General features: G+C 37.0%; 1 long non-coding RNA gene across 13 annotated transcripts in view, besides 1 other annotated feature; it reads left to right on the top strand.

Annotated features, from left to right (window-relative positions):
- Positions 1-27,198, top strand: part of LINC02955 (long intergenic non-protein coding RNA 2955) — a 491,729-nt gene that overhangs the window by 343,171 nt on the left and 121,360 nt on the right. For 6 of the 13 annotated variants that reach the window (NR_187512.1, NR_187513.1, NR_187508.1 and 3 more), the window contains 4 exons: positions 3,079-3,172; positions 10,962-11,294; positions 14,137-14,268; positions 14,751-14,868. This is a non-coding gene — a long non-coding RNA (long intergenic non-protein coding RNA 2955). The remainder of the gene's footprint in view (positions 1-3,078; positions 3,173-10,961; positions 11,295-14,136; positions 14,269-14,750; positions 14,869-27,198) is intronic. The other 7 variants (NR_187515.1, NR_187507.1, NR_187501.1 and 4 more) reach the window with 3 other exon arrangements.
- Positions 15,519-18,781: an enhancer, noted in NCBI's record as "VISTA enhancer hs1603". NCBI's record gives its function as "enhancer in: limb[7/7] | branchial arch[5/7] | nose[7/7]" and the evidence as "EXISTENCE:transgenic organism evidence [ECO:0001131][PMID:17130149]".

A 27,198-nucleotide genomic window follows, 5' to 3' on the forward strand; every position in this document is an offset into this window, starting at 1 on the left:
TAACAATGAATATAGACTGTTCTAATTGTTTTATTGGTATCAACTTATTCTTAAGCACAGTGTCTAGCACAGAAACAATAGGTAATTTTTGGTTGATTGTTGGAAGTAATGCATCTATGCAGGAATGACATTAGTGCTAGAATGATGTCCTCAATAATTCTCAGTCCAGAGATTTTGGTAGCTTCTACTGCTGGTTATCTAATCTTCACACAGATGGAACTGGATGTGAAAGATTGTTTGCCTACCCTTTTCTTGTGGATGTTGGAATCCACAAGTTAGAGAGAGGATTATATAAACCTTACTGATGTAGATGCAACTATTATAATTTGGCTTAGAAAACTTGGAAACTCAGGAAAAGGGTCTTCTTTATAGTGACATTATGGTTTACTACAGGAGTTTTCTAGCTAAACTGAAAACATTTTATGCCTAGACAGACTAATATAGATAGTCAGCCCATACTCTAAAATTTACACCAATTTCTTCATATCTGCAAGACCTGAGGTATTAAGTGAAATTTACCAAACTCTCTTTCTGCTCACGATTCTCTTTATTTCCATGAGATTATGTATTTGCAATGCCAGGGAAGGTGCATTTTTAAAAAAGTCACATCTATAGAATAATGCTTATGTGTCATTGTACATAGAACCTTTACCAAAATACCTGGCACCATCATTTCTTTTTGTATTTAGCAAATAAAGTGGAATGAAGGAAATCATGTTGATGAAAACCAGTACACATTTAAAATGTCATTCAAGTGCCATGGTAGTTAGAATAAATATTCAGCTGAAAAAGAAAGTTTTCAAATTTTGCTGACTCAGCCTAGAGCCCAGATCAGTGGGTGAAGTGGGGTGGTCCTTGACCCCTGAAATAGTGTGCAAAAATGTGGATTTGCATGTTTATGTTTAGGAGAGTGGTTCTGAGGCTTTTACTAGGTAGTCAAAGGGGTCTGTGTCTCTCTAATGATTAAGAACCACCACCGTCAAGCTTGCCATCCAGCTTGTGAACCTCTGCAATATGGGTTAGGAGTCCGTCCTTTAAAAGCATTCGTTTCAAAGGCAAAATTTAGTAAGTTCAATAAACTGTGTGCTCAGGTGGTCCTGCTCAGGTCAAGGGTTGGTTGGCTAATCATGTGCAAGAGCATTGTCTTTGTTTACTACACTGTAACAAACTTGTCTGTTTCTCTTACTGTCCTTGCATCTTGTTTGGATTTCGTAGGTTAAAATAAAAAGGTCCTCATGAAAGGGTTTCTTTTCTAAATTGGGCTCTATTAAAAACTACCAATAATTTGGAAGCTATTAGGTAACCTTTGTTTATCGACACAAAAGGAAGCTTACCATCCCAGATTCTATGGTGATGAATAGAAACCATGCCATAAACTGGAATTGTAACTTTTCACTATGGTCATCGTTTGGATCATCATTCAGATTCATAACATTTATAGAACTTTTATTTTGAGATTTTAAATAAACACGTCTATTCTTGCTGTGAAGGTCTTTACATTTCTTTTTTCTGTTTAGGACTGTTTAGGGCTATGAATTCCCTAAAACTATACCAATGTGATTATAGAACTGAGATTCTGAGGTAAAAAAGTTGAGAAATTCATATTTGTATGTGTATTAAATAAAATAATTATTTCCAAAAGCTACATATTGTTTTAGCAGCTCAAAATCAAAGCATTCTAGTATTCACTTTTTTAAGGTAGGAAATTATTTTTTATTCTGTATTGCTCAAACACAAAGCAAATTACTGATATTTTTTATTTTACATGAAAAGGATACTCTCACAACTGAGAAGATATTAATCTAACGGCTTGTGGCCTTTTTCTAAGAATTTAACGTTCAGATTCTTGAAGAACCTTAAGTTCATTCTTTATTTTTTTTAAGATGTTTATTTCGCTTATGATATAGTTGCTTTTCATACAGTGATTTTTGTAGTTTAAAAAAATGTTTAAATATTGGGTAAAATTTGCCATTGTTGTTACTGTTAAAATAATGTTTAGAAATACTTACTGAAACTCACTCATTAAAACAGTAAATATGAAAAGCACATTATTGGATATTTAATATTTAAACATATTGAGAAATGGGTACTATAAAAGATGAAAGCGATTGATGGTAGGCCTGGACTAAACAATCTTAAAGGCAGCTTCTAGCTTTGTGATTTTAGACTTTTACCACTGGAAAAAATATGATGGCTGTGTTTCCCACCAACTGTCTAAAGCACCAACTTAAGTGTACATCAGTGTAATGCTTTTTATTTGAATAAGCAACAAGAGTTGCTTATTGATAACTTGTTACTGCCTTCTTTATGCTAACAAATTGTCCAAAGAGGCACTTGAGAAATTCAGATAAGCATCATAATCTATTCAAGGGGTTGGGTTTTGTTCAAAGATAAATAATCAAATAGAGTTAAAATAAGAAAAGAATTAGACTAATTCACATCCTGTATTTCTTTATCTGTCGTTTGACGAATATGTGCCTTCAAGATTTTAAATGTGTATTTGTATTGACTCAGTGATTTGTTGCAATAGGTTTCTGTTCCTCAGAATTTTCTTCATAATGGCCATGTTAAGCCCTTCTTAACCTGTTGCTAGCGGGTCTGTTGCATTTCAGGTTGCTTATACTATTAAAAGACCAGACCCTTATATTATACCTTGATAAATAATTTTCTCCCAGTGATTACTTATTTACCTTATTTTAGTTTTTCCTAAATCTGCTAAAAACTTAATGAGCTTTTCATTCAAGCCTGATATATTGACCCTATTTTTAGTGATGGTTTTAAACCACTTCTTTGCTTTTCTCAAGGTAACCTTGGTGATATTGTTACATTTGTTCATTATCATTTTTTATGCAGCAACTATCTCTATTGATTTGTCTGTGGCCTTTGATTCGATGAATCACAACATATTGCTATTTGAGTGTCCCTCAATTTGGCAAAGTTTAACTACAGTGGAATGGTTCTCAGGCTACATTAGTGAATAAACCCCAGTCGTTTTGTTTAATGGTGTTGAATCTGAGGTGAAAATGTTACATTCAAAGTTACCTCCGGAGCTAATTATGGGGCTTTTTACTTTTTCAGTTTTTATTAATGACCTGCCGACATCATACAGTTCATGAAATGCTCTGGATGTGTACATGCTGATGATACGACCTCAGACCCAGCAAGAGCTCAGGCAAGTGTGCAGGCATTGTGTGTTTAAACTAGAGATTCATTGAGTGATGCTCACAACACAGATACAAATTTTGCCCCAAATATACAGGCTCACAATTTTTTTTCTAACTACACAGAGCAATCCTGGATAATTTTATATTTGCCTACTTTATAAATGGAGGTAGGAGCACAACTAGCTGAAATAGATGATGAAATGATGAAATGTGTATCTGGGCTTTTATATACCATCCTATTCCCATATCAAATGTAATATAATTTTAGGTGGTAAAAACTTAACATTTCACGAGCGTGCTATTTCCCACTGAATAATTTTTTAAAAAATTGGTTGTTTATACCCATCTCTCTGAATGTAAATATGAAGGTAATGCCCCAGAATGCTCTTTTCTTAAATTTGGAAAATTACCAAGGAGGAAAATATTCTCTGCAGTAGCACAGCATTCTTTGAGACTAACTTGTCAATTACAATTTTGTATTCATCCAAGTGATAAAACACATGTAAGGCCTGAATGCTCACTGGGTATAGTCCATATCTTTAGAAGTAACTTCTCAACTCACAGAAGTCTCCCTTCACTGCCTCCTTTGTAGACGGCAGGACTCTGGACCACATTTAATATTATAAGATTCCCTGAACTTCCCTTGGACCAAAGCAGAGGAATTGAGTTTGTAGATGGAAACAGAAGAACAAACCAAGTTTGAATGGATGACCTTTGCGGCTGGGTTTTCAGTATGTCTTGGGTCAGAGGCAGCCAGACATTCTGTTCTGAGAGCTCTTCAGATGCTCATAATGAACCTCTCTTGTCTGTAGAAGTTGTGCATGTACTAATGACATAGAGATGTGAGGGACAGTTTCTGTACTCAAGGAGCTTATATTCCCATGTCAATAGTAGTTAAAGGAATATGTTTTGAGCAAGGCTGCCTGGTTTCAATTTCTGGTTCTGCCACCTGGCAGAGTAACATTGGGCCAGTGGCTTATCCTTTTTGGCTTCAGTTTCCTCATCACTAATATACATTTCATAATCATACCTCCCTCATGGAGTTTTTGAGGGTCCAATTTGATAATACATGTAGGGGGCTTACAAAAGTGACACACATTGAAAGTACTGAATAAGTGTTTAGCCATGATTATTATTAAAGAAATAAGCATTCTACAATAAGGTAAGTGCCACAGAAGTAGAAACGAAACACTCTGAGAGCACACGATGAGAATCAATTATATCTTAAGGAAATGATGTTGGCTGGAAGAGAACTTCATAGAAGAGATGAAATTGTAAAATACTAATAGCCATTCTTTATTGCACAGTTGCTACGTTATAGGCACTGGACTGAGCACCTCAAAGACTGATTTAGTTCTCACAACAATGCTCTGTTTAATGTTTCTCCTTTTACAGAGGACACAGAGGCTCAGGAAGACTGAGTAATTTGCCACAGGTCCTAAAGCCGGGAGGTGGTAGAGCTGGGATGCAGCTGGAGTCAGTTCTAGATTCACACCTAGGTTTAAGTGCACTGATGCTCATGCTCCTAACAACTATATAACAGTTCCTTTTCCCTTAAGCTTATCTTCAAAGGATGCATGTGAGTTTGCTGGTTGAAGAAGGGTGCTAGGCGGAGAATAATTTGACACGGTGGGGAAAATATGTGCAAAAGTAACAAAGGTGTGAAAATAGGCAACAAGAGTTTGGGGATGACATGGTAAAAGGCCATTTAGGTCATGCTAAAAAGCTTGGATTCCGGCTTGGGAATAGTGGAGAGCCAATCAGATGTGCATGTGAGAGAAGAATCAGAGTGGGCATTGGTTCTGGATGGATTGGAGGGCCATGACATTTGGAGGTGGGAAGCCTTTAGAAAGAGGTTTATTATATCAGTCTGGGCAAGAAATAGTGAGAGCTTGAAGTTAGGAAGTGAGGGGAGAATTAGAGTAGCAACAACCGATTTGAGAGGCTTTTCAGTAGCCGATTGAACAAGGTTTGACACCTGATGGCATCAGTGAGGGAGAGGTAGGCTGAGGCTGACTCAGGTCTCAGGCCCCGTGGCTAGTGGTTGAAATGAATGGAGATGGTAAATAGAAGCAGCTTACATAAAATCCATTTAAGGATTTGTTAGGTAAAATCAGTGTTAAGAAATAGCAAAATTTCTAAAGGAGGTGTTGAGGATATGAGGGGGTGTTTTCAGAGAAGATTTACATTTGACAATGCAAACTTCTATTGTCTGTAAGAAGAGCAAAGGAGAAACTAAAGGTACCAGCACCTTGGAAATTTTCCAATTGCCATTACAGGCTCTTAGAGGGTCAGCGGAAATGGCAAGTACGCACAACTTTCAATTACAGTAAAAGCTCACTGATTTGGATTAATTGGGGTAAAGGGCAGCCTGACTAAATAAAAGTCTGATTTATAGAAAAAATTTAAATAAATTCAGTTTGATTATTTTTAAGTATTTTAAGCTAACTCTGTTTTTATTTAAAATGTCAAATTGCCAAGGATGATTTGTGAATAAGATAAAAAAGACCCAATATAAAGGGCAATTATATTAATTAATTAATTAGATAAATATTTAGTGCCCATCATATGCCAGGCAATAGTGACCATAAATGATGCCTCTAAGTGTCACAATCACTTTATGTTTAAAAATAACCATTTTCCTTTTTTCTTGCAGATCCAAATCTTTAAAAGGCATACATATCTGAAAAATTGGTCTCAAAATGAGTTGCCTTGTAAGCCTTTTCTTGTTTTCTAAAAAGGAGAAAGTTCTCCACTTAGATAATCACAATTCGTGAAAGAGAACTTAAGGAGGTTTTCCTGTACCAGAGACTCCTATGGGTCTCTATGCTTCTATTTTTACAACTTTTCAGTCCATCTTCCTGTAGTGGGCATTGTTTCTAAAAGGCAAAACTGACCCTGTTGATTCCAGGTTTCAGCTCCTCCCATTTTGGGTATTATCTACAGGATAAAATCCAAGCAAGTTCTTTGGCATAGAATTCAAGGCTGGTCACATCACAATTCTTATCTCTCTCTATGTAATGAACTCAAAATTTCCACCTGCCTTGCTTCTCACACCCCGCTGCTCCTTGTGTCTGTATTTTTGCATATGCTGTTCCATCTGTTTAGCAGTCCCTTCCTATTTTGTCTTTGAACTTATATTCATTCTTCAAAACCTTGCTTAGGAGGTACTTCCTGTTTTCTTTCCCTTCTAGACAGAATGACTCATTCCTTTGTCTGTTTCACTTCTGTGATTCTAATATTGCTTGTATCACATGGACATTTGTTTATTTGTTTAAATGTGTCTCTCCCTCACTAGACTACAGATTCCTTGAGGTCAAGGGCCTTGTGGCATTTAACTTTGTCTCTATGTACCAAGCACAGCACCAAACACAAGATAGACACTAATAAGTTAATTACCGAATTGAATTGAGCAGAGTGTTCTTAACTACTGTGGGCGCTATCAAAGTTGCTAGCTTTGCCCTTTCATCCTGCCCACTTGCATTCAATTTACTCTTACCATAACAAAATACTGGTCGGCATGGGTGGAAGTAGGGGTAACTGGTTGTGATTGTTAATTTTAGGTGTCCACTTGACTGGGTTAAGGGGTACTTAGCTGGTAAAACATTTCTGTGAGGGGTGGGTAGCATTTTTAGAGATTAGCATTTGAATCAGTAGACTCAGTAAAAATGATCCATTCTCACTCATGTAGGCAAGCATCATCCAATATGTTGAGAGCCCAGATTGAACAAAAATGAGAAGGAAGGGGGAATTTGCTTTCTCTTTTTGAGATGTAGGGCATCCTTTTTCTCCTACCCTTGGAGATAAGAACTCCAGGTTCTTGGGCCTTCAGACTCCAGTGGTCCTACAGGTTCTCAGGCCTTTGGACTCAGATGAATTACATCACTGGCTTCCCTGGTTCTCAGCTTGCAGGTAGCATATTGTGGGACTTCTCGGTCTCTATGATTACGAGTCAATTCCTATAATAAAAACCCTCTTTACCTATCTATCTGTCTTTCTGCCAATCTGTTTGTCTATCCTATTGGTTCTATTTCACTAGAGAACTCTAATATGGGTAAAATTTAAAATCAGATAATGTTATTTCTTGCTATAATTTTGGGTTGAAAGGGTACTTTACTATGATGCATATGTATTTTCTTGCCTTTAGATTTATCTGTACATTCCTTTCCCAGTTCTTCAACCCACTCCCATCATATCTTCTTTCTATCACTGCCTCTCTATCACTTTCTGTCTAGGTTCAAAGTCAAGTCCATAATTAGATCAGAACTTTATGTCTCGATTTAGTGATGTGTCATCAGAAGCTCAGAATATTTCACATTTTGGGGTTAGGCACATTTAAGTGCTATCATTCACCTCCATAAATTCATGCTACATTTAATCTTCTGACTATTAGCTTTCTCCACCGTCCAACCCTCCCAGCAATTCTGCCTTAGGGCACCTAAGAGTAAGTGATTGCTATGACAAGAAGATAAGTAATTAATTAGATTGATGTTCAAAGAGTCCCCCGCAAGTTGTCAATACCCATATTTATATCATAATGCTACAATTTTGGCAGAATTATTTCCTTTTTATGAAAATCTGATGAAGCAATTTTCAGATTTCCTGACATGAATCAAAAATTTGAAAAATACAGATATAGACCCATACTCCTGTTAACTTTCCTCCACTTTGAGTAATTTTACACTTTGGGATTTTAAGTTGGGAAAGAATAATAATCAAATATGGTTAAGAATGGGTTTTCAAACAAACTTGCTAGTCTGTTTTTGAAAAGTCAAGGCATTCTAATATAACTTCACTTATTAAAACAGTTTAGTAAGAGAGTCTAAATAAGTATTTTTAATCCTTGCTGGATTATAGCAAAATACAGAGGAAATGGTAAAAAGATTTTTCTTAATTTCTATAAAAAGTAATTTAGTAATTGGAGATGCTTCTAAAGTGCTACAGAATGTAGTATGTGTGAGGCTTTAAGTACTCTCTCTCTCTCTCTCTCACACACACACACACACAAATAGTATTACAAGAAACAATAAACACAGAATCATTCCTAAAACTACCCAGAGAGAAAATGAGTAGTGAAATTTATACTAGGTGATTGTTTTAAAATTATCCAATGAACATAAAGTCCATACCACATTTTTATATATCCAGATGTTCTAGAGGTTGATGTTTAGGATGTTGCATATAATTAGAAGTTTAGATGTCTATGGAACCCTGATAGTGTTTTTCCTGGGTGAACTAATTTTGTTATCCATAGTAAGTTGGAGAAAATAACAAAACAAAATGATAGGTGTTTTATCAGCATTATTGTTCAGAAATGCTGATTCTTTTACTTGAAACCCGTATTGTTAAACTTTCCATTTTATGTCACTGAAAAAGGCAGATTTAATACTAACAAAAAGCTATTGTGAAAAGGCTTCCCCGGGTCCTTGACTACTGCATGAAAAAAGTTAATCAATAAAGGAAGCCTATCACAGAGGATCATAAGTTCTACAACTGATGATCCCAGGACTGTAATTGGCCTTCTTGTTTGTATTATTACTCATCAAAGCTGGATAATTACTAACACCAGCAGAAGACAGCCCCTCACTGCCCTTTGTGTAAAGGAAACTTCAGCTGGCATATCCCTTAATGATAGTCTTTGAAATCTTATCGATGAGCGTATTCAATTCTACTTTTCAATTGTGTGGATAATATAGTATTTTAGCATTTTGGAAGTGCAAAATTCATGAAATCATGTCTGTCCAGTATCCAGATAAAGTCACTCTGTGCCACCTGGTGAATGTCCATTTAAGAACAAGCAACAAGTTCAGGTTCTGTTCACCTCCACTTCTGGAACTAGGGCCTCTTGATAATCTTTGGCGATACTTTTAAGTGTGGGGCTTTGTTGAAGGCAAACCTGAAGGGAGACTGTGAGTAGCTTCCTTGGGATATCTGCTCTGATTTTATGATCCTAGTTCAGTTGAACACAAATACATTAAGTATCAAGAAACTGCACTTGCTCCAAGAAGGTGATGGCGGTGGTAATAGTTTGGATAACCCCTCATAATCATATCATGATATCTAAAATAAATGAAGTGAACATTTTTACACCATTATACCCTACAATACAATTCAATAAACATTATTAAATGCCTCTTGTATGAAAGGTCCAGGGATAGAAAGTCACCTTTACAAAATAAATGATTATAAACATTCTAATTATAAGAGTTCACTTTCCAAAAGCTCTGTACCATTCATTGTCCCTGTGGATCAACCTTTTATCAATTTCTCAATGCTAGTGCTTGGATTACTTAGCTTTAAGTCATAAGTTTACTGCAGCCATTCATTCATTCATTCAACACATTTGTTGGGTGGTTGGGATGTGTAGGCATTATACTAGTTGCTGCAACTGAAGAACTCCTGGGGTTCTTGACTATGTTAACTGCCTTCCTTAGCCCTAGACGGATCCTTTTTCCTGACTTATACCACAGGCTTGAATCCTGACTCCTCCCCTATTGATTCAAGCTGTGATATAATTCTTGACTGGGTGAATTATTTTACTCTGCCTGGTCTGCTGCTTGTGGCTCCTATCATCAACTCCTGGCCTTAAACCCTGATATCTGGGCTTAACTCCTGCCTTACTGGTCTCTGCCCCAGGACCTAGCTCTGGGTTCTTGGGCTTATCTTTGATTTGTGTATGGCTATTATTACTAGAGTTCTGCTGTTGCTCTCACAGATAATTTAGGGGGTCTATGCCAGTGTAACAGTGTTTCTACTGATGGCTCCAGGTCAGCATATTCTCTCAGCAAAAGAGTGTATCTGCTATCTACTCCCACAATATGCACTGTAACGAGCAACCATAACACACAACCCAGTATAAAACAGTAAGCATTTACTTAGCTCATGAGTCTTTGGGTGGAGAGGAGAGTTGCATTCTGGCTCACAAGTCACATACAAGGCAGGTTTATTGATTCTGCTGGGCTTTCTCACATGTCTGGGGCCTAGGCTTGGACGACTGGACTGAGTCAGCCTTTTTCTTTACAGTCTCTCATCTGCAAGCAGGTCAGCTGGGTTTATGTTCATGGCAGTACCAGGCTTCTAAGAAAGAGAGAAGGCAAGCAAGGATACTTGAGGCCTAGGCTCTGTACTATGACAGTGTCAGTTTCACTGACCCTTTTTGTCAAAATAAGTCACAAGGGCAGCCCAGATGCAAGGAGAGGGGAAGTAGCTACAAAAAAGTTGAAGAGTGTAGCTGCAAAGTCACAATTAGGAGTCTGGAAAACTGGGGCAACATTTGCAATCAGTCTTCCATAGTGAATTGGTTTCCAACCATTAAACATTGTGTTTCTCGACAGTCTTTAGCTTGGACTTGGGTAGGAGTGGGGATGTGAGCCTGAAGTATGGCAGAGAGAAGGGAGACTGATATGGGTTTGGCTATGTGTCCCACCCAAATCTCATCTTGAATAGTAGCTCCCATAATTCCCATGTGTTGTGGGAGGGACCTGGTGGGAGATAATTGGATCATGGGGGTGGTTTCCCCCATACTGTTCTCGTGGTAGTGAATAAGTCTCATGAGATCTGATGGTTTTATAAGGGGTCTCCCCTTTTGCTTGGCTTTCATTCTCTCTTGTCTGCCACCATGTAAGATGTGCTTTTTGCCTTCTGCCATGATTATGAGGCCTCCCTAGCCATGTGGAACTGTGAGTCCATTAAACTTCTTTTTATTTATAAATTACTCAGTCTTGGTTATCTCTTTATCAGCAGCATGAAAACGGACTAATACAGAGACTAACATGATATTTTTCCATCACCCTATAGTGCAGCCCGGAGAGCTGTGAGCAGTGCCACAGGAGGAGATGACTGGTGAGTGAAATAAGCAAGATAGGAGTTGAAGTGTACATGAAGCAGAGTCCAAGCCTTCTCCTTCTGGATGTTCAGCTGGATCATCCTGACTGCTCCCACTTTCATCTTGGCTTTCAAAGGCAAGAGGAAATTATAAGGAATATTCTGAGTGGCTTTCATCCAGGAGTTCTGTGGGACCCGCAACACCTGGATGGTAGATGCAAACAGATAAAGAATATTGGTCACCAAAAGGAGTTCTTTTCATCATAGATCTCTGAAGGTAGACACCTATTTGCAGACTTCTCAAAGGTATGTAGCATGTGGTGGTAGTGATGGTAGGATGTTTCCAATGCAGGCTATTTCACAAATTTAAAGGTATTGTTGCTTCTTGTTTAAGATGCACACCTATTTGATTTGCCTTCAAAAATAAAATGCTTTTTTATTCTGTTGTTTCATCCTTTTAGTTACCCATACTCACTGACTTGAAAACATAGTGGGCCAAACAATATTTTCTTTTTCTAATATTTTTTAGAGACAAAATTTATCTCCAGGGAAGCATTAATACAGAAAGGTTTTGCTGAGAAGCAACATATATTTGCTCAGGTTCTTGAAGTATTATTGTTGAGTGCTGTGCACTTGTACCACATGCTTTTTAGGATAAATGAGCTTGGACTGGCTTGGCTTAGCAGTATTTTTTGGGGTGAGTTTACAATGGGTATACTCCATGTGTCCAATTCACTCTATTTAAGTATAATTTATTTCTGTTTCTTTGTAGTTTATTTATATCTGAATGCTTACTTTAACATTTGGTTAGCGTTTTATTTACTCATAAGAATGCATTAGCTACAAAGGACAATCCCTCTCTTGTCATCAGACAATTACATTTAATTATCCGTATGTGAGTAAGATGTATAAAATGATGGCATCTCAGAGTCTCCAGAGACCAGCGTCATTATTTCTCAGCTCTACTGATGCAAAAGAGATGACAGTTTATTTTCCAACTTTATGTCTTTTTCTCCTCTATGCTGGATAATCCTCAGAAACACCTGTGACTTTTATTCAACTTTTTGACTAACAATTGTCATGGTGTCTAACACGTTTTAAGCATTGTTTGACAAAACACTTCCTGGCAATGAGTTGACAATAGGTCCTTTCTTCACTTTCTTGGCTCTTTCTCCCACCTCCGACACAGCACTGCCCCCAGGTGGGAGAAGGAAGGTGAAGCCTAGAAAAAGATATCACCTCATGTGACCCTATGGAACACGTCGTATTTCTGGCTGAAGAAGCTGAAGATGAAAGATGCAAAGGCATGAAAGTGAATGACATAGTCTAAGGAAAAAGCAAGAAGTTCTGTTTGGCTAAAACACAGAATTATGGAGATAAGCCAGCATAGAGAGGGTGGATCTATGACAATCCTCTAGGATGTGAGGAGCCTTTGAAGATTGTTTAACAGAGAGTTTCAATATCTAGTGGCATTGAGGAAGAAAAAGTTAAGAGAAGAGCATTAAAGATCAGGGTGATAGTTAAAAAAAATCTGTTGCAAGAGATAGACAAGACAGGACTAAAGCAGTTACAAAGACGGGGCTTTATTTTGTTTTTCTTGTGAGACATTTTAGAGATTGTGTTGACAGAATTGGATGTTAAGGGTAAATGAGAGAGGAAGAATTAGATAATGATGTTAAATCTGACTGGGAAATGACAATGTTACTAATGGCGCTGCTAGAAATAGGAAAAGATATGAGTTCAGTTTTAGGTGTACTAAATATGATGCAGGAAATCAAAGTTGAGGTAGTCAATTAACTGAGAGAAGTTGCATCCTGTGTTCAGGAGAGAATTTGGGGGTAAGAGTTATAGATTTAGGAGTCATTGACATATGTGAGACTAGCTGAAGACATGAAATGAGTTAGATTGCCCAGGAAGGAGGTGTGGACTGAGAAAATAAGCATGGCAAGGATGGGAACAAACATCAAAATAGGTGGGACAAAGAAGAGAAATCAACCAAAGGAAGAGGAGAAGACAAAACAAAAGATTTTAAAGACAATTTCTGATGAAAACTTCTGCAAATTGTTTCTTTGATTTAATCTTAAAACAATATTGTATTAATAAGTACTATTATACTTATAGTACAGAATCCAAATACTTATTTGGATATATTTGCTTGCATATACAGAAGGATGGAAGCTGGGGATGGAAAAACCAGTATTGATTATTCTCCTATTTTAAAGAGATATACCCTTCTGATCATATGGGCAAAATCCTTCCATGTGTCCAAGACCCTAATTAAAGCTAGTTTCAAGGCTCAGAGGTAGACTTCCTTGTGTTATTTGTCTCTATTTTTTTTTGTCTTCAGGCACAATTAGTTTTAATCAAATTTGGTAATTATTTATTTTTTTAGATATGTAAATGTAGTATTATCAAACAGGCCAGGCACGGTGGCTCACACTTGTATTCTCAGAACTTAGGGAGGCCAAGACAGGAGGATTGCTTGAGCCCAGGAATTTGAAACCAGCCTGGGCAACATGGCAAAAACCCGTCTCTACAAAAAAATACAAAAATTAGACAAGGGTGGTGGTGCACACCTGTAGTCCCAGCTACTTGGGAGGCTGAGGCGGGAGGATCACCTGAGTCAGAGAGGTCAAGGCTGCAGTCAGCCATGTTTGCACTACTGTACTCCAGCCTGGGTGACAGAGTGAAACCCTGTATCAAAAAAAAAAAAAAAATTAAATAGCACAGGAGTATTTTTTCTAAGTGAATGTTTTACTCCCTCAACTCAATTGTTTAGTCTTATTTCCCAGGAGCCCAGTGTTTGTATTTCTTCTGTATTCTCCCAGAAATATCTGTTTTCATAATTTTTACATACACATACATGTATATGCAAGAAATTCTCAAAGATCTGCACACCTGCACAATACTTCAACAACCTTAATGTTGAATTCTTTCCAAGTGTGTGCAAACCGTATTTACTGGACTTCTCTAATTCTAAATATGAAAGAGCTGGGAAGTTCCTTCTTATAATCTATGGATGTAGAGTGACCTCTTTGTAGATCGTCTTTGGCAGAAGCCCAATGTTTTTTTGCTCATATCTACTTATTTTTCAATTACCATCAGCCCATATTTTTGTGTTATTTAATGCTCCTTTTTGCATATTCAGGGCTATATGGATGTGCTCTACTTGTTGGAGGATTGTCCATCCACTCTTCTTCCTGTACTTACCAGGACAGAACAGCCGCAACTTCTCAGACAGTTCATTCTTCTTTTCCTCACCTACTACCATCTAAGAAAGGTAAGATTGAGTATAGAGAATTTTTTCACCAGTGAGATGCAATATGAGATCCATTAGAAAGCAGAAGAATGGATCAATGGTTTAAAAGTTTTAAGAATAAATTATTTCCCTACTCTTGGGGAATCTTGAAGAAAACTCGTTACAGTGCTTGAGACTCTAGATACCAACAAGTGGTCACTTTTTCCTTCTTATGGGAACGGATGCAGCTAATAAAGTGTGATGACTTCCTTTTTATAATGCAAGTCTTGTTTTTGTCACCCCTTTTTGCATATCTATTCTGGGGAAGAATAAATAATATCTGTAAATCCCTTTAAAGAAATTGTGATTGTTTGCTTGCACTTTTGATATATATAGCTCATGAAATAGGTTGTCTTTTTATATTTCAAATAAGGTAAAAGACTGAATTTGGACTTTATCATGGGCCCAAAAGTTCTGTTCATGATAATAAAGATCCAAAATGCTGACTTGCTTTTCTTAAACAGGTACTTGATGACTGTGGCTTTAGACAAGAGTCCTTTTCTTACCACAGGGTGGGCAGCACCAGCTCATTAGAACCATTTGTGTGACTGACTGAAGACAGCTCACCTTGGAACACTGCAGGTAATACGTGGGTAGACCTTGGGCTCAGCATATCATAGAGATTCCTATCATGAAGAACAGACGGCCCAAGATGCCTCACATGTTATCAGAGTTCCCCAAATCTTGTTAACATTTAGATGTCTAGAGTAATTTTTTTTGTTGAGTTCCCTAAAGTAGACAAGATTTTCTTCATGTTTATCTCCTACTCTATAAGTACATAGCACGATGGCTTACTCTGAGGCTCACAAAGTGTTTGCAACAGTGAATTAAATGTTGAATGTGGGGCATTTACAATTCTGATTGCTTTCTTAGTCAATTTAAGATCGATGTGGCGATATATAAGTTGCACTGCCAATTTGTCCTCAGTTTTCTCATCAGTGATGCAGGATGAATAGTACCTTTCCTTATAGAGTCATGAGTAATACTGGAATAGTTTGTTGAAGTGTTGTTAAATATACTAAGATTCCAATGAAATGTCTATGATATAAGTAGTTCCTTAGTTGCATATTGATGTTTCTCATAGACAGTCATTGTTTATTGTTTGTTTGAAAGTGGTTTGAAAATAATAGAGACTATCTTAAACCAGTGTACCATTTGATTTCTTTGTAGCAAAAATGTTTACTTGCTATGCTTCCGCTTTGCACTATAGTGAATGTGGTAGCTTCTGGAAACTGCCCTGGAAAGTTAGGTGACACAATGAATTATTTTTGGAATGGTAATTTAAGTCACTAACATCATTACTTCTCATTTTCTTCATGCTTTTGGACACCATTGGAGGTGGGGAAGGAGTACATTACTGTAATGTGGGGGTCATATAATATGAAATAACTGAATTCGTAACTCTTCTACCTACTTGGCAGAAAAATCAATGGGCTGCATTTTATCATTGCACATGGGGACAGTTATGTAGTGCTCTATAGATTATAAACATTTGGTGGGACTCTAGGAAAAGCTAGAGAGGAATATCTAGATAAAAATTAATGACAAGTATACTTAGAATGTCCTGGAACAGTAAAGAATAAGAATTTCTTTTATGTCAGTGACCTAACATCTTCACTTGCCATGTCAAACCTTTTCATTTGTTTTAATCAGTGCTGACAGTGGCCTTCACTACATTACTTGAATCACATTTTTCCACAATGTAAATGCTTCAATTTATAGTCTTTTTTGTATTAAGAACAAATAGGGCAGCCTTAAAAATCATACAGTCATAGGTGTTTGATTCATTTCTTAATTTTGTTGTTGAATTGTTTTGTGGCACTTAGGTTTAGGATCTGTCTTTCCTTGAGGAAAGGACTGTGCATCCTTCATCTTTGTATCTAAGTGTCCTACACTGCACCTTGCACATTATAGACCCTCAATATTTGCTGACTAAATGCTGGACTGACTGAGTATTCTTAGTGTCTTGAAAGATTTCATGCACAAAGAACGCTTGACTTTTTCCTCAGAGATTACTAGCTCATTCATTCCATCTTACGTTATGATCATTTTGCAGATAAGTAAACTGAGACTCACTAGTAATTTGCCACAGACTTTGTAATTATACCAGGGATCAATGTTCCTAGCTATAGTGAAAAAATTCATAAATTTAAAGAGGAAACACTATGTGTACCAAAATATAGGCTGTGATAAAAAAGAGAGGAATACTGTTCACCATTTCTGATCTTGACAGAGAGGTTAGGTTTAAATCTCAGAACTAACTTCATTTTTACAGTTATTTATCATTCATTGAAAGAAGTTGCTTCGAGTTGTCATGGCATTTGGTCGTAAAGAATTAGTCCATCAGCTTTAGCTTATTAGTGCTCTCGGAAAAAAAAATGAGCCTTGTCTTTCTTTGAATTTGTAATGCATGCATTTGTAGGACGTAAAGCTTTCCCTAGGTGCTGGCACAACAACGTACATTTTACTGAGCTGACTTACAACGTGGTCTGGTCTCTAAGAGATTGCAGCAACAAACGAAGGCATAAGTAAAATGGGAGAGCTCTGTGCTGTGCATGGTCCATCAACATTAATGAGCATTATAAATGTTCTACGAATGAAGTACAAAATGGACCTCTGAAGTTGTTTTTATTGGTATTTATTAATGGGACAATCAATCAGTTCTGTGGCACTTATAAACACGTTGAACAGATAAGGTTCCTGCCCTGAGAAGCTTAGAGTCTAATTCAAAGTTATGACAGCTATCATAATACATTTTAGTGAGCTGGGTTACTCTCCAAAGCATCATGACACCCATAGGACAGTGGAATATGGTCCTGGTCATTGATGAGCTGGATTCATTGCTTTAGCCAAATAATATTTCAGAACCATCCCAAACACTGCTGCTCTCACCAATGGGGGTGATTATGTAGGTACTGATCACTCACGTTAAGGGAGAGGATAAAGAACTAAGACAGAATTTTGGAAAATAGAAGTAAGCAAATAAAAAAGCACACAGAGAACTTCCAATTGCCATACTGACTCTATAAAAGCCTCCAATCTGGCATTAATCATTTCAGTCACTTATAAGCAGGTTTGTGTCTCCCTTTTCATAAGCGTCTCGCCCTGCTATAAATGACATTCTGTTTTATGAAAGTATAATGTGAAAATCTACTGATAAGCCAAATAATAAAAACTTTATAGCATGTCAGGGCTTTTTTATTATTATTATTTAACCTCAATCAAGTTATAATACTGAACACATGTATTCTTGGCCTAAATCACCTTGTCAAGTTTAACTGTATATTCAGCTTCATTTACGTGACATACGATCTAATATTGGAGAACAACAATACCATTGTAGTGTTAATTGAAAACTCCAAACTGAGAGCCAGAAGAAACCACTGGTCTGATTGCTGAGGGTCCCAGGGAAGGGGATCTATTCCCACACCTGCAGTTGGTCCATAACACTAACATTGTTACCAACATCTGGGTCTAATCAGTCCAGAAGCCCTCATATGCTGCTCCTGGGGCACATAAATTAAGCATTACATTCATTTTAAAAGCCCCCTCTTTCAGTTTTTTAAGGACAAGATAGATTCATGGCTCCACAGAGTCTAACAAAGTAGAAACCACAAACAGAGTAAGCTACTACCACAGGCCTCGTGGACTTGACTTACCAACTCTTTGCCACTTAAATAATGGAATTTTATGTTCAGCCCTGGCTATCAAAAATGTGTTTCCACCGAAAGTGAAGTTTGACTGAAAAGCTGCATTAAAAATAAAAGCAAATCCTCAGAAAGTGAGCCAATTTGTATAAATCAGACTTTATGTAAGGATATGAGATAATATCTAACAGAGAAATATAAGCTTAGGAGTCATAATTTGCCTCATTCACTTCATAACTGGAAGGCCTCTTAGAACTGACTCTTCATAGTGTACTTTAAGAAGGTTTGCATCCAAAGGGACTATTCAGAATGAAAGTTAAAAAGTTTTAGATCTTTCAGTGGGACTTTGGATGGCTGGTTTCTGAGGATAAAGGGTCTGCTTGACCTGGTAATTATTTTCTGCAACTGCTCTGCAAAGTGTAGCTGTTAGAATAAGTTCTGCTGCCACTCAACATGAGTGAAAACTAAATACCCTCTTATGTTTTATGCAGATGCCCTAGGTAACCAAAGAGTTCTAAAAGAGAAAGTAGCCTGTACAATTTTTGCAGCAACGCTTATTAAAGATATAAATACAAAAGAAAACAAAATAACAGAAAAAAAAAAAACCATTGACAGTTTTGCAAACTACTTGCTTATGTGTTTGAGACCAATTTGTTGTAGGGGAGAATTTTTAACTTGTTTGGTTTTGGTTATTTTCTCTCTTTCTCTGTTTCTTCTTCTGTTATATTACAAGAAAAAAGAATTGCCTGTGTAGCTCAAGAGGCTGGGAAGTTAGGAAAATAATTCTGTGGGTTGATAAAGTTTGTGCTAGTTGGATAACTGTTTTATTTATTTGTTGGCTCCGATATGGCAGCTGGCCTTCAAGGATTTCATGTGCACTGGATAAATTACCTATCTAATGAGCATCTCTGAATGGTCTAACATTGGAAGATAGTAAATGAATGAGATTAATGATCACCAAATAGAAGTGGGAAGAGGGAAGACATTGTTCCTTGGATTTATATCCAAAAATAGGATAGGCATTTTTTTCCCTTAATATTATAGAGAACATTTGGTGATATGGTTGGTACTTCATCTCACCCAGGTACTTCATCATTGGCTCAAATTATTTTATCTAGTCATAGTCTGCATATGAATAGGCATTACCTATAGCCTTATGAATAAAAAAAAAAAACCTAACTGGTATGTTTATGTTTAAAAATGCAGTGGTTCATAAGGAAATAGCATTTTGCATAATAGATTTCCAGAATTCTTGGGTAGAGCACAGATAAGAAAATTGATGATCCCCAAAGGTACTGCACAGTTCAGGATATGATATTCATAAAAATGGCCTGATTCACGAAGAAAGATTCAAATAATATTCAAACTACCATTTTTTTTTTTTAAAAACAGGATATACTTTTACATTTAAAAAAATGCTCCTTACTCCACCGCCCCCAAAATCAGTTTCAAAGTCAATGTTTCAATTATCTGAAGAATGCAGGGATATAAGGATGGGTAGTTCAACAAAGCCAGGTACATAAGTAAAACCTGTATAGACATTTGGATTTGTCATTAGAGTGCAAGGAATAATGGAGCAAGAAGAACAGAGCATATTCTATGTGCCAGAAACTGAAGTAGGCATTTTGTGGTAGGACTCATGGCTAAGGCCATTCTCTTCTTCTAAACTAGCTAGTTCACTAGCCTGTTTCTTACAATGCAGCTGTTTTGTGGAAATATTTATGTTATTAGTCTTTGATTTGGGTTAGAGAAGTTGGAGGTGTTCTCACATTCAATGTGTTGTGAATAATATATTGCACTCACATTCTACTTTTTGTGATTTATATTTTGAAGATAGCTTAAAGCTAGTTCAAGGCTACCACATCTGTTTGAAGAATAATGCACAATTTATAAAGGTATAGGGTTTCTTTCACTTGTTTAATGAGAAGTGATAGGCACAGTATGAGGCTGGGTGAATTCCCACAAGACAGACTAAAAAAGTGTTGACAATTTTCCATTTCCCAAATAATGCATGTGGTAAAACCCCACAGTATATCCGTTTAAAAGCATCTCAATATTCAGTTTAAATGTGTTTTCAATACCTTGTTCCAGTAAGATTAGTTTTGTAATTCCAAATACTTTCAGGAAGTGAGTATGCAATTTGCTAACAGACCATTCGATGTAGACTTGAAACGCAACCTAAGTTATCAAATTTTAGTTTGTTACCTTGAGAAGTTGTAGAATACCCACAGTTGTCCAAAATCTGGATTTGTATCCATTTCTAGTGCTCCATGGTGGGGGAACCACGGGGTTATATAAAGAAAAATTTGAGAGCTACTGCACCCTTAATATCAGGGCAATCTACGTTTCCCCAGACAAAAATGAGGTTGGGTCACGAAAGGATCACAGTAACAAGGTTCAAAAGAACAATCCTCTAAATCAGCCACAACTTGAATAATTGCTGACTCCTCATATTCTTCCCAAATATTATTAATAGATTCCATTAACTGAGTCTATTACACACCAAGTGCATGGTAGGTGGTCTATATGCATTATCTTATTTAATTACCATAACAGAAAGACAAAGAGAATTAAACAACTGCAGCCCATAGAGACTAAGCAACATGCCCAAAGCCACACAACTAACAGGATTACCTGATACTTTACATAGTTCTTTTATAGGATTTGTCACAATTTGTATTTATGTATTGACATAATTATTGATTAGTGGCTCTCTCCTATCTTGTAAGGGCAGGGACTGTATCAATTTTACACCTAGAGCCTGGAACAGTGCCTAGCACATTATAGGTGCTTATTCATTTATTGTCCTTATCATTTGCCTATAGCTGCCTCCAATCCAAGTGGCCATGGTAATATACGCCCATATTTTTCTGCTCCCATGACTTCGATGGTAACATTAAAGAAGGAAATGTGGACTTTTGAGTTTCCCGTGACTCTTCTTATATCTTAAGTGGAGTTTTTGTTACGGCTTTTTTATTTTATTTTAGCCATCTCCCTACCGCAGGCCTCTCCACAGGCACAGTCTCCAGTGAGGAAAGTGAAACTATGGGACGATGTTAGTAGGACCTGCCTTGGTAGACTTCAATATTACCCTTTCCTTATGATCTCAATGGACCAAACTTGACCTCTTCAACTCTTTCTGCCGTTAGAAAGGAAAATCTTTCTCATATGCCTCTGAGGTTTCTTGCATATTAGGCCTCTGTTGGACCTCAGACTTTGTGAGCTGCAGGGTACTCAAGGTTACGCTCTTAAGCAGGGGCTCCTGCTATGCTTGAGTTTGCGTTGTTTTTAGAGGGCTTTCCAATCTGCAATAAGACAGAATTTGTGAACCGGTGCCCCCACTCACAAAACACATTGCCTCCAAGTGCTTCTAAGAAAAATGTGACCTAGCCAAGGATTAACAGAAAATGAGAAGTTGGAAGAGTTGATGTTAAAATGGAAGAGTAATATACTTGACATTAGGGCTCTGCCAAAAATGTTGTACTTTTATTGCCAGTTTTGGACTAACCCGATAGACACTGAGGTCACTCTGGTCTTCTTTCACGTTCTTTGTCATGGGGTTCTTTCCAGCTTGAGAAACTTGATGCAGGGTGTTTCCTCTGCTTGGGCTGTCCACTACACCTCCCGTTTCCATGTTGCCACATTCCCTTTCCTCCACTGGGTTTCAGCCTGAATATCACTTCACCAGAGAAGCGATGAGGAACATTAGGAAACCTTCACTTGGCCCCTGTAATTCTTTCTTAGCACCCTGTATATTTCCTTCACAGCACTTGCCACAATTTGTGCCTTTATATTGTTTTATTTATTTATTGATGTAATATCTATCTCCTTTCCTCCAACCTACTTGAAGGCAGGACCATATCTGTCTTAATCAAGGCTTCTTCTAACACCAAGAGCTCTGGCAAGATTAGAAAATGTGCCCACTGATGTCCCACCGACTGAGCATATTTTGCAGGGCACAATCTGTTTCCCCAGATCTTACGACAGGTCTTGACACCTAAGAGCAATATCTTATTTGTTGAATGAAATCATAAAATATAATCGTCTTCTCTTCTGAGATACTTTTCTTTCTGCCAATTTGGATTACATAGTTCCCCCAGGTCTCAAGGCCTCAGTGATCTTTTGCCTTAAGAAACTCTCAGAAATGACATTTGGGAATTACTTGGATATTAGGTACCTATGCTATTCTTCTGTTGTATGTCCTTTAAATAGCTTTTTGTCTTTTTCCCAAATTATATGATTATTTGTATATGTCCAAAAAATTAAAGCTTAGAGCAACATTGGTGGGAAATGGGAACTTATAACCATGTTAGTACTGAAATAGTAGCAAAGGCAGATTGCTGCAGTGGAGGGTGCCTGTAATCCCAGCTACTTGGAAGGCTGAAGTGGAAGAATTGCTTGAGCCCAGGAGTCTGAGGCTGCAGTAAACTATGGTTGCAGCACCACACTGCATTCCAGCCTGGGCAACAGAACATGATCCTATCTCAAAAAACAAAAACAAAATCAAAACAAAACAACCACAAAAATCAATAACAATGACTAGTGAAAACTTGAGTCTTCACAGAGATTTCTGTCCAGCCATCAGCTTAAAAGATAAGAGACACTTTGAAAAAAAAACAACAACAACAAAAAACCCATGGGATAAGGACAGGGAACTAAATGACCAAATTCCCAGTAAATTTTAGTGGCACAATTATTTAATAAAATCACATCTACAAACATTGATTTATTTTAAAATAAGAATAAGCATAAGTAAAACACATACTGTGGAAGGCAAAATCACGTTTAGATGTGTAAAAACCTACTGTAGGAGAACAATATGGGACAGGGTAGCAAAGAATTAAAGTGCATAAAAATGTATTTAATAAATAATCAACAAAGTGCAATGGACAGAGTACTCGAGAATAGTTTGGACTAGATGCTTTTTTTAGTGGGATTCTTTCTCTTAAGTATTAACCTGTTTAATTGGAAATGAAATATTTGTTTTTTTTAATGGGAAATCTGCATTTCATTGTAAACTAGAACACATTGTCCTCGACGTCTTTACTCTTTGCTAACATATTCTAAGTTTCTTTTGTGTTTAATATTTAATATAGAAAGAGAAACAGTACCAAAAAGCCTAGAATAGAGGCATATTTATATACAGGTTCTAATCACTGTTTTTGGCCCTTGGACAAAATTGTAAGAATGATTTCAAAGCCAGTGCCTGAACTCTGTTTGGGCTCATTCAGCCCAAGCTTGTGAGTTAGGCTCCTCTTTTGCCACTAGCTCAGCCTTTCTACCCCAACCTGAGTCATTCCAACCCACACATCTGATTTCACACACAAAGAAACTTGTAATGTTAATTCTAAAATTATAGACATCATTACTGAGCTAATCATTGTATTACGCAATCATTTTTGTTGTAATTGTTCCAATGAACCAACATGTTTTTTAACAATTTATATAGAGGACAATAGACTTTATTAACTTCTATATTCAATGAAAAGTCAGATCACTGGTTAGAGTTCACTATTTCTCTTGACTGTGCTTTGGAAAATTATATTAATTGCAGAATTAAATGAAATAGAAAATTTCCTTATTCTACTACTGATGGTATTTTCTCCCTGTGCCTCAGTTTCTTTATAAAATGGAGATAAAATATTTGATTTGTCACCTTATTGTTCTATTTATTAAGGTAATGCTAGTGGATATAACTGATAAATCCCACATTCTCAATGGCCTGACAAAATAAAATCTGGCACTTGTTCAACATAAGTATTCCTATCTGAGTATATCCTCTGTAATTAGTGGTTTAGGAGCCATGTTGCTTCCATATTCTGGTTACATCATCTTCACATGTGGCCTCCAAATTTACTGAGGAAGGGGAATGACGCTGTGGGAAAAGAAGAACTGATACACACAGCTACAGCCTGTAAACGACACACATCACACCTCATGCACAAGCACAATGCACATCCCATTCCTAGATATAAGGGAGCAGGGAAATGTCGTCCTAGCTGGGCAGCTGCCTCCAGCAGTAACTCTACACTAAGGAGGGGAAATAGGATCCTTTGGCGGTCAGCTAGCCTCTTTAACAACGCCTGTTTGTAGAGTTGCAGGGAGGACTAAATTAATGAATCCAGGTGAAAAGCTTAGAACAGTAGCCATTATATACAAACTAGGGATAGAGAACCCTTCCTCCTCCTCCTCCTCCTTTCTCTTCTTCCTTCTCCTCCTCCTTCACATTTTCTTATGATGCTTAAATAGTTACCCCTATATTACTACTTGAAACTCAGCAATTGCTCTTTATAATCAACATTTACCCTTTTCTTAGGATATTTTTCTCTAACTTTTGCAAAATTATTAATATTCTATTTCCTTTTGTTTTATCTTTTGCATACATTTGGGCCTCTAACGTATACTTAGATTATCAAGAATCATAGTTGGATTATCATGAATATCTAGGTTTTGTGATGCCTCTGGGAAAATCTTTTGTTAGAGGATACTTTGTTCTTTCTCTTTTCATGGAGAAAGCAATCTGAAATTTCGGCTGGAGAAAACATATAAATTTGTCTGACTCTTCTCAAAAGCCTGGTCCTCAATTAAACTGCCTCAAAGGTAGCACACGCTCCTTGTTTGGAGGGTTGGTTGTTATTCCCATAATTAACTTTAAGGTCACATGTGCCAGGACAATGTTCTCCTATCTATACAGACATATTCTGAAGTATGTCCTAGAATTTAGTTTTGGTTTTACCACTTAAGATAGTAGAATTGTTGTCTGGGCCAACTCTTCCAATCTTTCCTTCCTGCCGTGAATCTTTAGGTCCAGGAAACACACATAGCTTTTTTTTTTTTTTTTTTTCCTCCAACTTGTACATTTTGCGTTTGTATAGACTGAAGCACACTTTGTTAACAAGAAAATGTCTCAGTATACCATCTGTAATTTCAGTTTTCAGTTTACTGTATATTTGCTGAAGCAGCGGTTAAGAGAAACGTGCAGCTAATAGAATAATGTGTAACAAATAGTGAATTGTATGTATTTTAAAGGGTTATACTTTGGCATCTTCCCCTTGCAATCTTGAGAGAATGAAACTGGACTTGCTCTCATACCAAAAAGAACAACACTAGGCAAAATAAATATGGCAAATATTTTTAGGAATTGAACAACAGGTAGTTCAAGATTGTAATTTCTTTTCTTTTTTTTTTTTTTTTTTTTTTTTTAGACAGAGTCTTGCTCTGTCGTCCAGGCTGGAGTGCAGTGGTGTGATCTTGGCTCACTGCAACCTCTGCTTCCCAGGTTCCAGTGATTCTCCTGCCTCAGCCTCCCGAGTAGCTGGGACTACAGGCGCCCGCCACCACGCCCAGCTAATTTTTGTATTTTTTAGTAGAGATGGGGTTTCACTATATTTGCCAGGCTGGTCTTGACCTCCTGACTTTGTGATCCACCCGCCTCGGCCTCCCAAAGTGCTGGGATTACAAGCATGAGTCACCGCACCTGGCCCAAGATTGTAATTTTTGAGAAAAAATAAAAAAAAATATGAGATGAGGTCTAGAAATGGTTATGATCACCCGCAGCTTTTCCTACAGGCACTGTCCTGCCACAGAGCAGGCTTATGGAACTTAAGTAGAGTAGCAGTCTCACTTTGCAGAGAAGGAGATTGGAATTTTAGGCTATCTCAGTTCCTGAAATTTGCTGAGCAAGGTACCTGAAAGGCAAAAGCTTCACAGATGAAGGTGCCTAAAAGTCTATGGAGGAGTTTACTGCATGTTGTTGGCAAATGATTGAGATGCATGTGCACAAGACAAGTTGCCAAGAGTCCCAGCAGAGATTTCCTGATACATTGATGGGAGATTTGGGGGTTTCAGCCCAGCCAACATAAAAAGACTTTGCTAAAAGACTTAGATGTTCAGTTGAGACTCCATACCCTAGAGTAAGGAGCATGTGCCAGGACTAAGCTTAAAATTGGAATAAATCTGCCATAACAAAAAATAAAATCAAACCTAATAGACCAAAAGTTTCTGCCAATAATTTAATTGCCTTTCAGAAGAAATTCAACATCCCTTAAAGAAAGATCACATAATCCAGACTCTCCACTACATATCATTCACAATGATAAAACAATTACTAGACATGCAAAGAAACACGAAATAGTGGCCCACAGTCAAAAGAAATATCAGTCATTATAAACAAATCCTATGATGATCTAGATATTTGAATTAGTAGACAAGGCCTTTAAAATAGCTATTATCAATGTGTTTAAGGACTAAATGTAAAGTGTGATTATAATTAATGAACAGAAAGGAAATCTCAGCAGAGAATTAGGAACTATGAAAAGTTAATCAAAAGAAAATTCTAGAACTGAAAACATGATAATTGAAATTTAAAAGAAAAAAATTACTGGGCTGAGCAGTCCCTCTTCTGAGTAGATAAAGAAACTGAAATCACTACCTTATAAAGATATCTGCACTCTCAAGTTAATTTGCAGCATTATTTCCTATAGCCAAGATATGGAAACAACCAAAGTGTCCATCAATGGATGAATGGATAAAGAAATTGTGATACACTCACACGCACACCAACATGCACCATACACAGAAAAACAAACTGTATGATTTTACGTATATGTGGAATCTTTTTAAAAAAGTACAATAAGTGGAAATAGGAAATAAAATTGTTGTTACCGGGGGTGAGAGAGTGAGACAGAGAAAATGGGGAGATGTAGGTCAAAGAATACAAAGTAGCAGATATGTAGCATGAACAAGTCTAGAGATCTGATGTACATCATGAGGACTACAGTTAATGAAATTTTATTGTATTTGTGATTTTTGCTAAGAGAGTAGATTTTAGGTGCTCTTGCCACCAAAAAGGGGTAACTAAGGGTAACTATAGGAGATGATGGATATGTTCATTTGCTTGACTCTTACAACCATTTCACCATATATATCAAAACATGTTGTACAACTAAAATATATACAATAAAAGAAGTAAAAAAAGAAAGTAAAAAAAAAATCCCTAGGTAGGCTTAACAGCACATTTAAAATGGCAGTAAGGGACAGTGAATTTGAAGGTATATTGTTAGAAATTATCTAATCTGAAGAACAGAGAGAAAAAAGACTGAAAAAAAAATAGCGCCTCATTGACATGACAGAAATTTCCTAATGACTAAAAGATCAATTTCAATTCATCAGGAAGACAGAGCAATTGTAGATGCATATGTTCCTAATAGCGTGTCAAACTATGTGAAGCATGAATTTATAGAACAAAAGGGAAAACAGACAAATT

The sequence above is a fragment of the Homo sapiens genome, chromosome 12, assembly GCF_000001405.40.
Source record: "Homo sapiens chromosome 12, GRCh38.p14 Primary Assembly".
Lineage (NCBI taxonomy): Eukaryota > Metazoa > Chordata > Mammalia > Primates > Hominidae > Homo > Homo sapiens.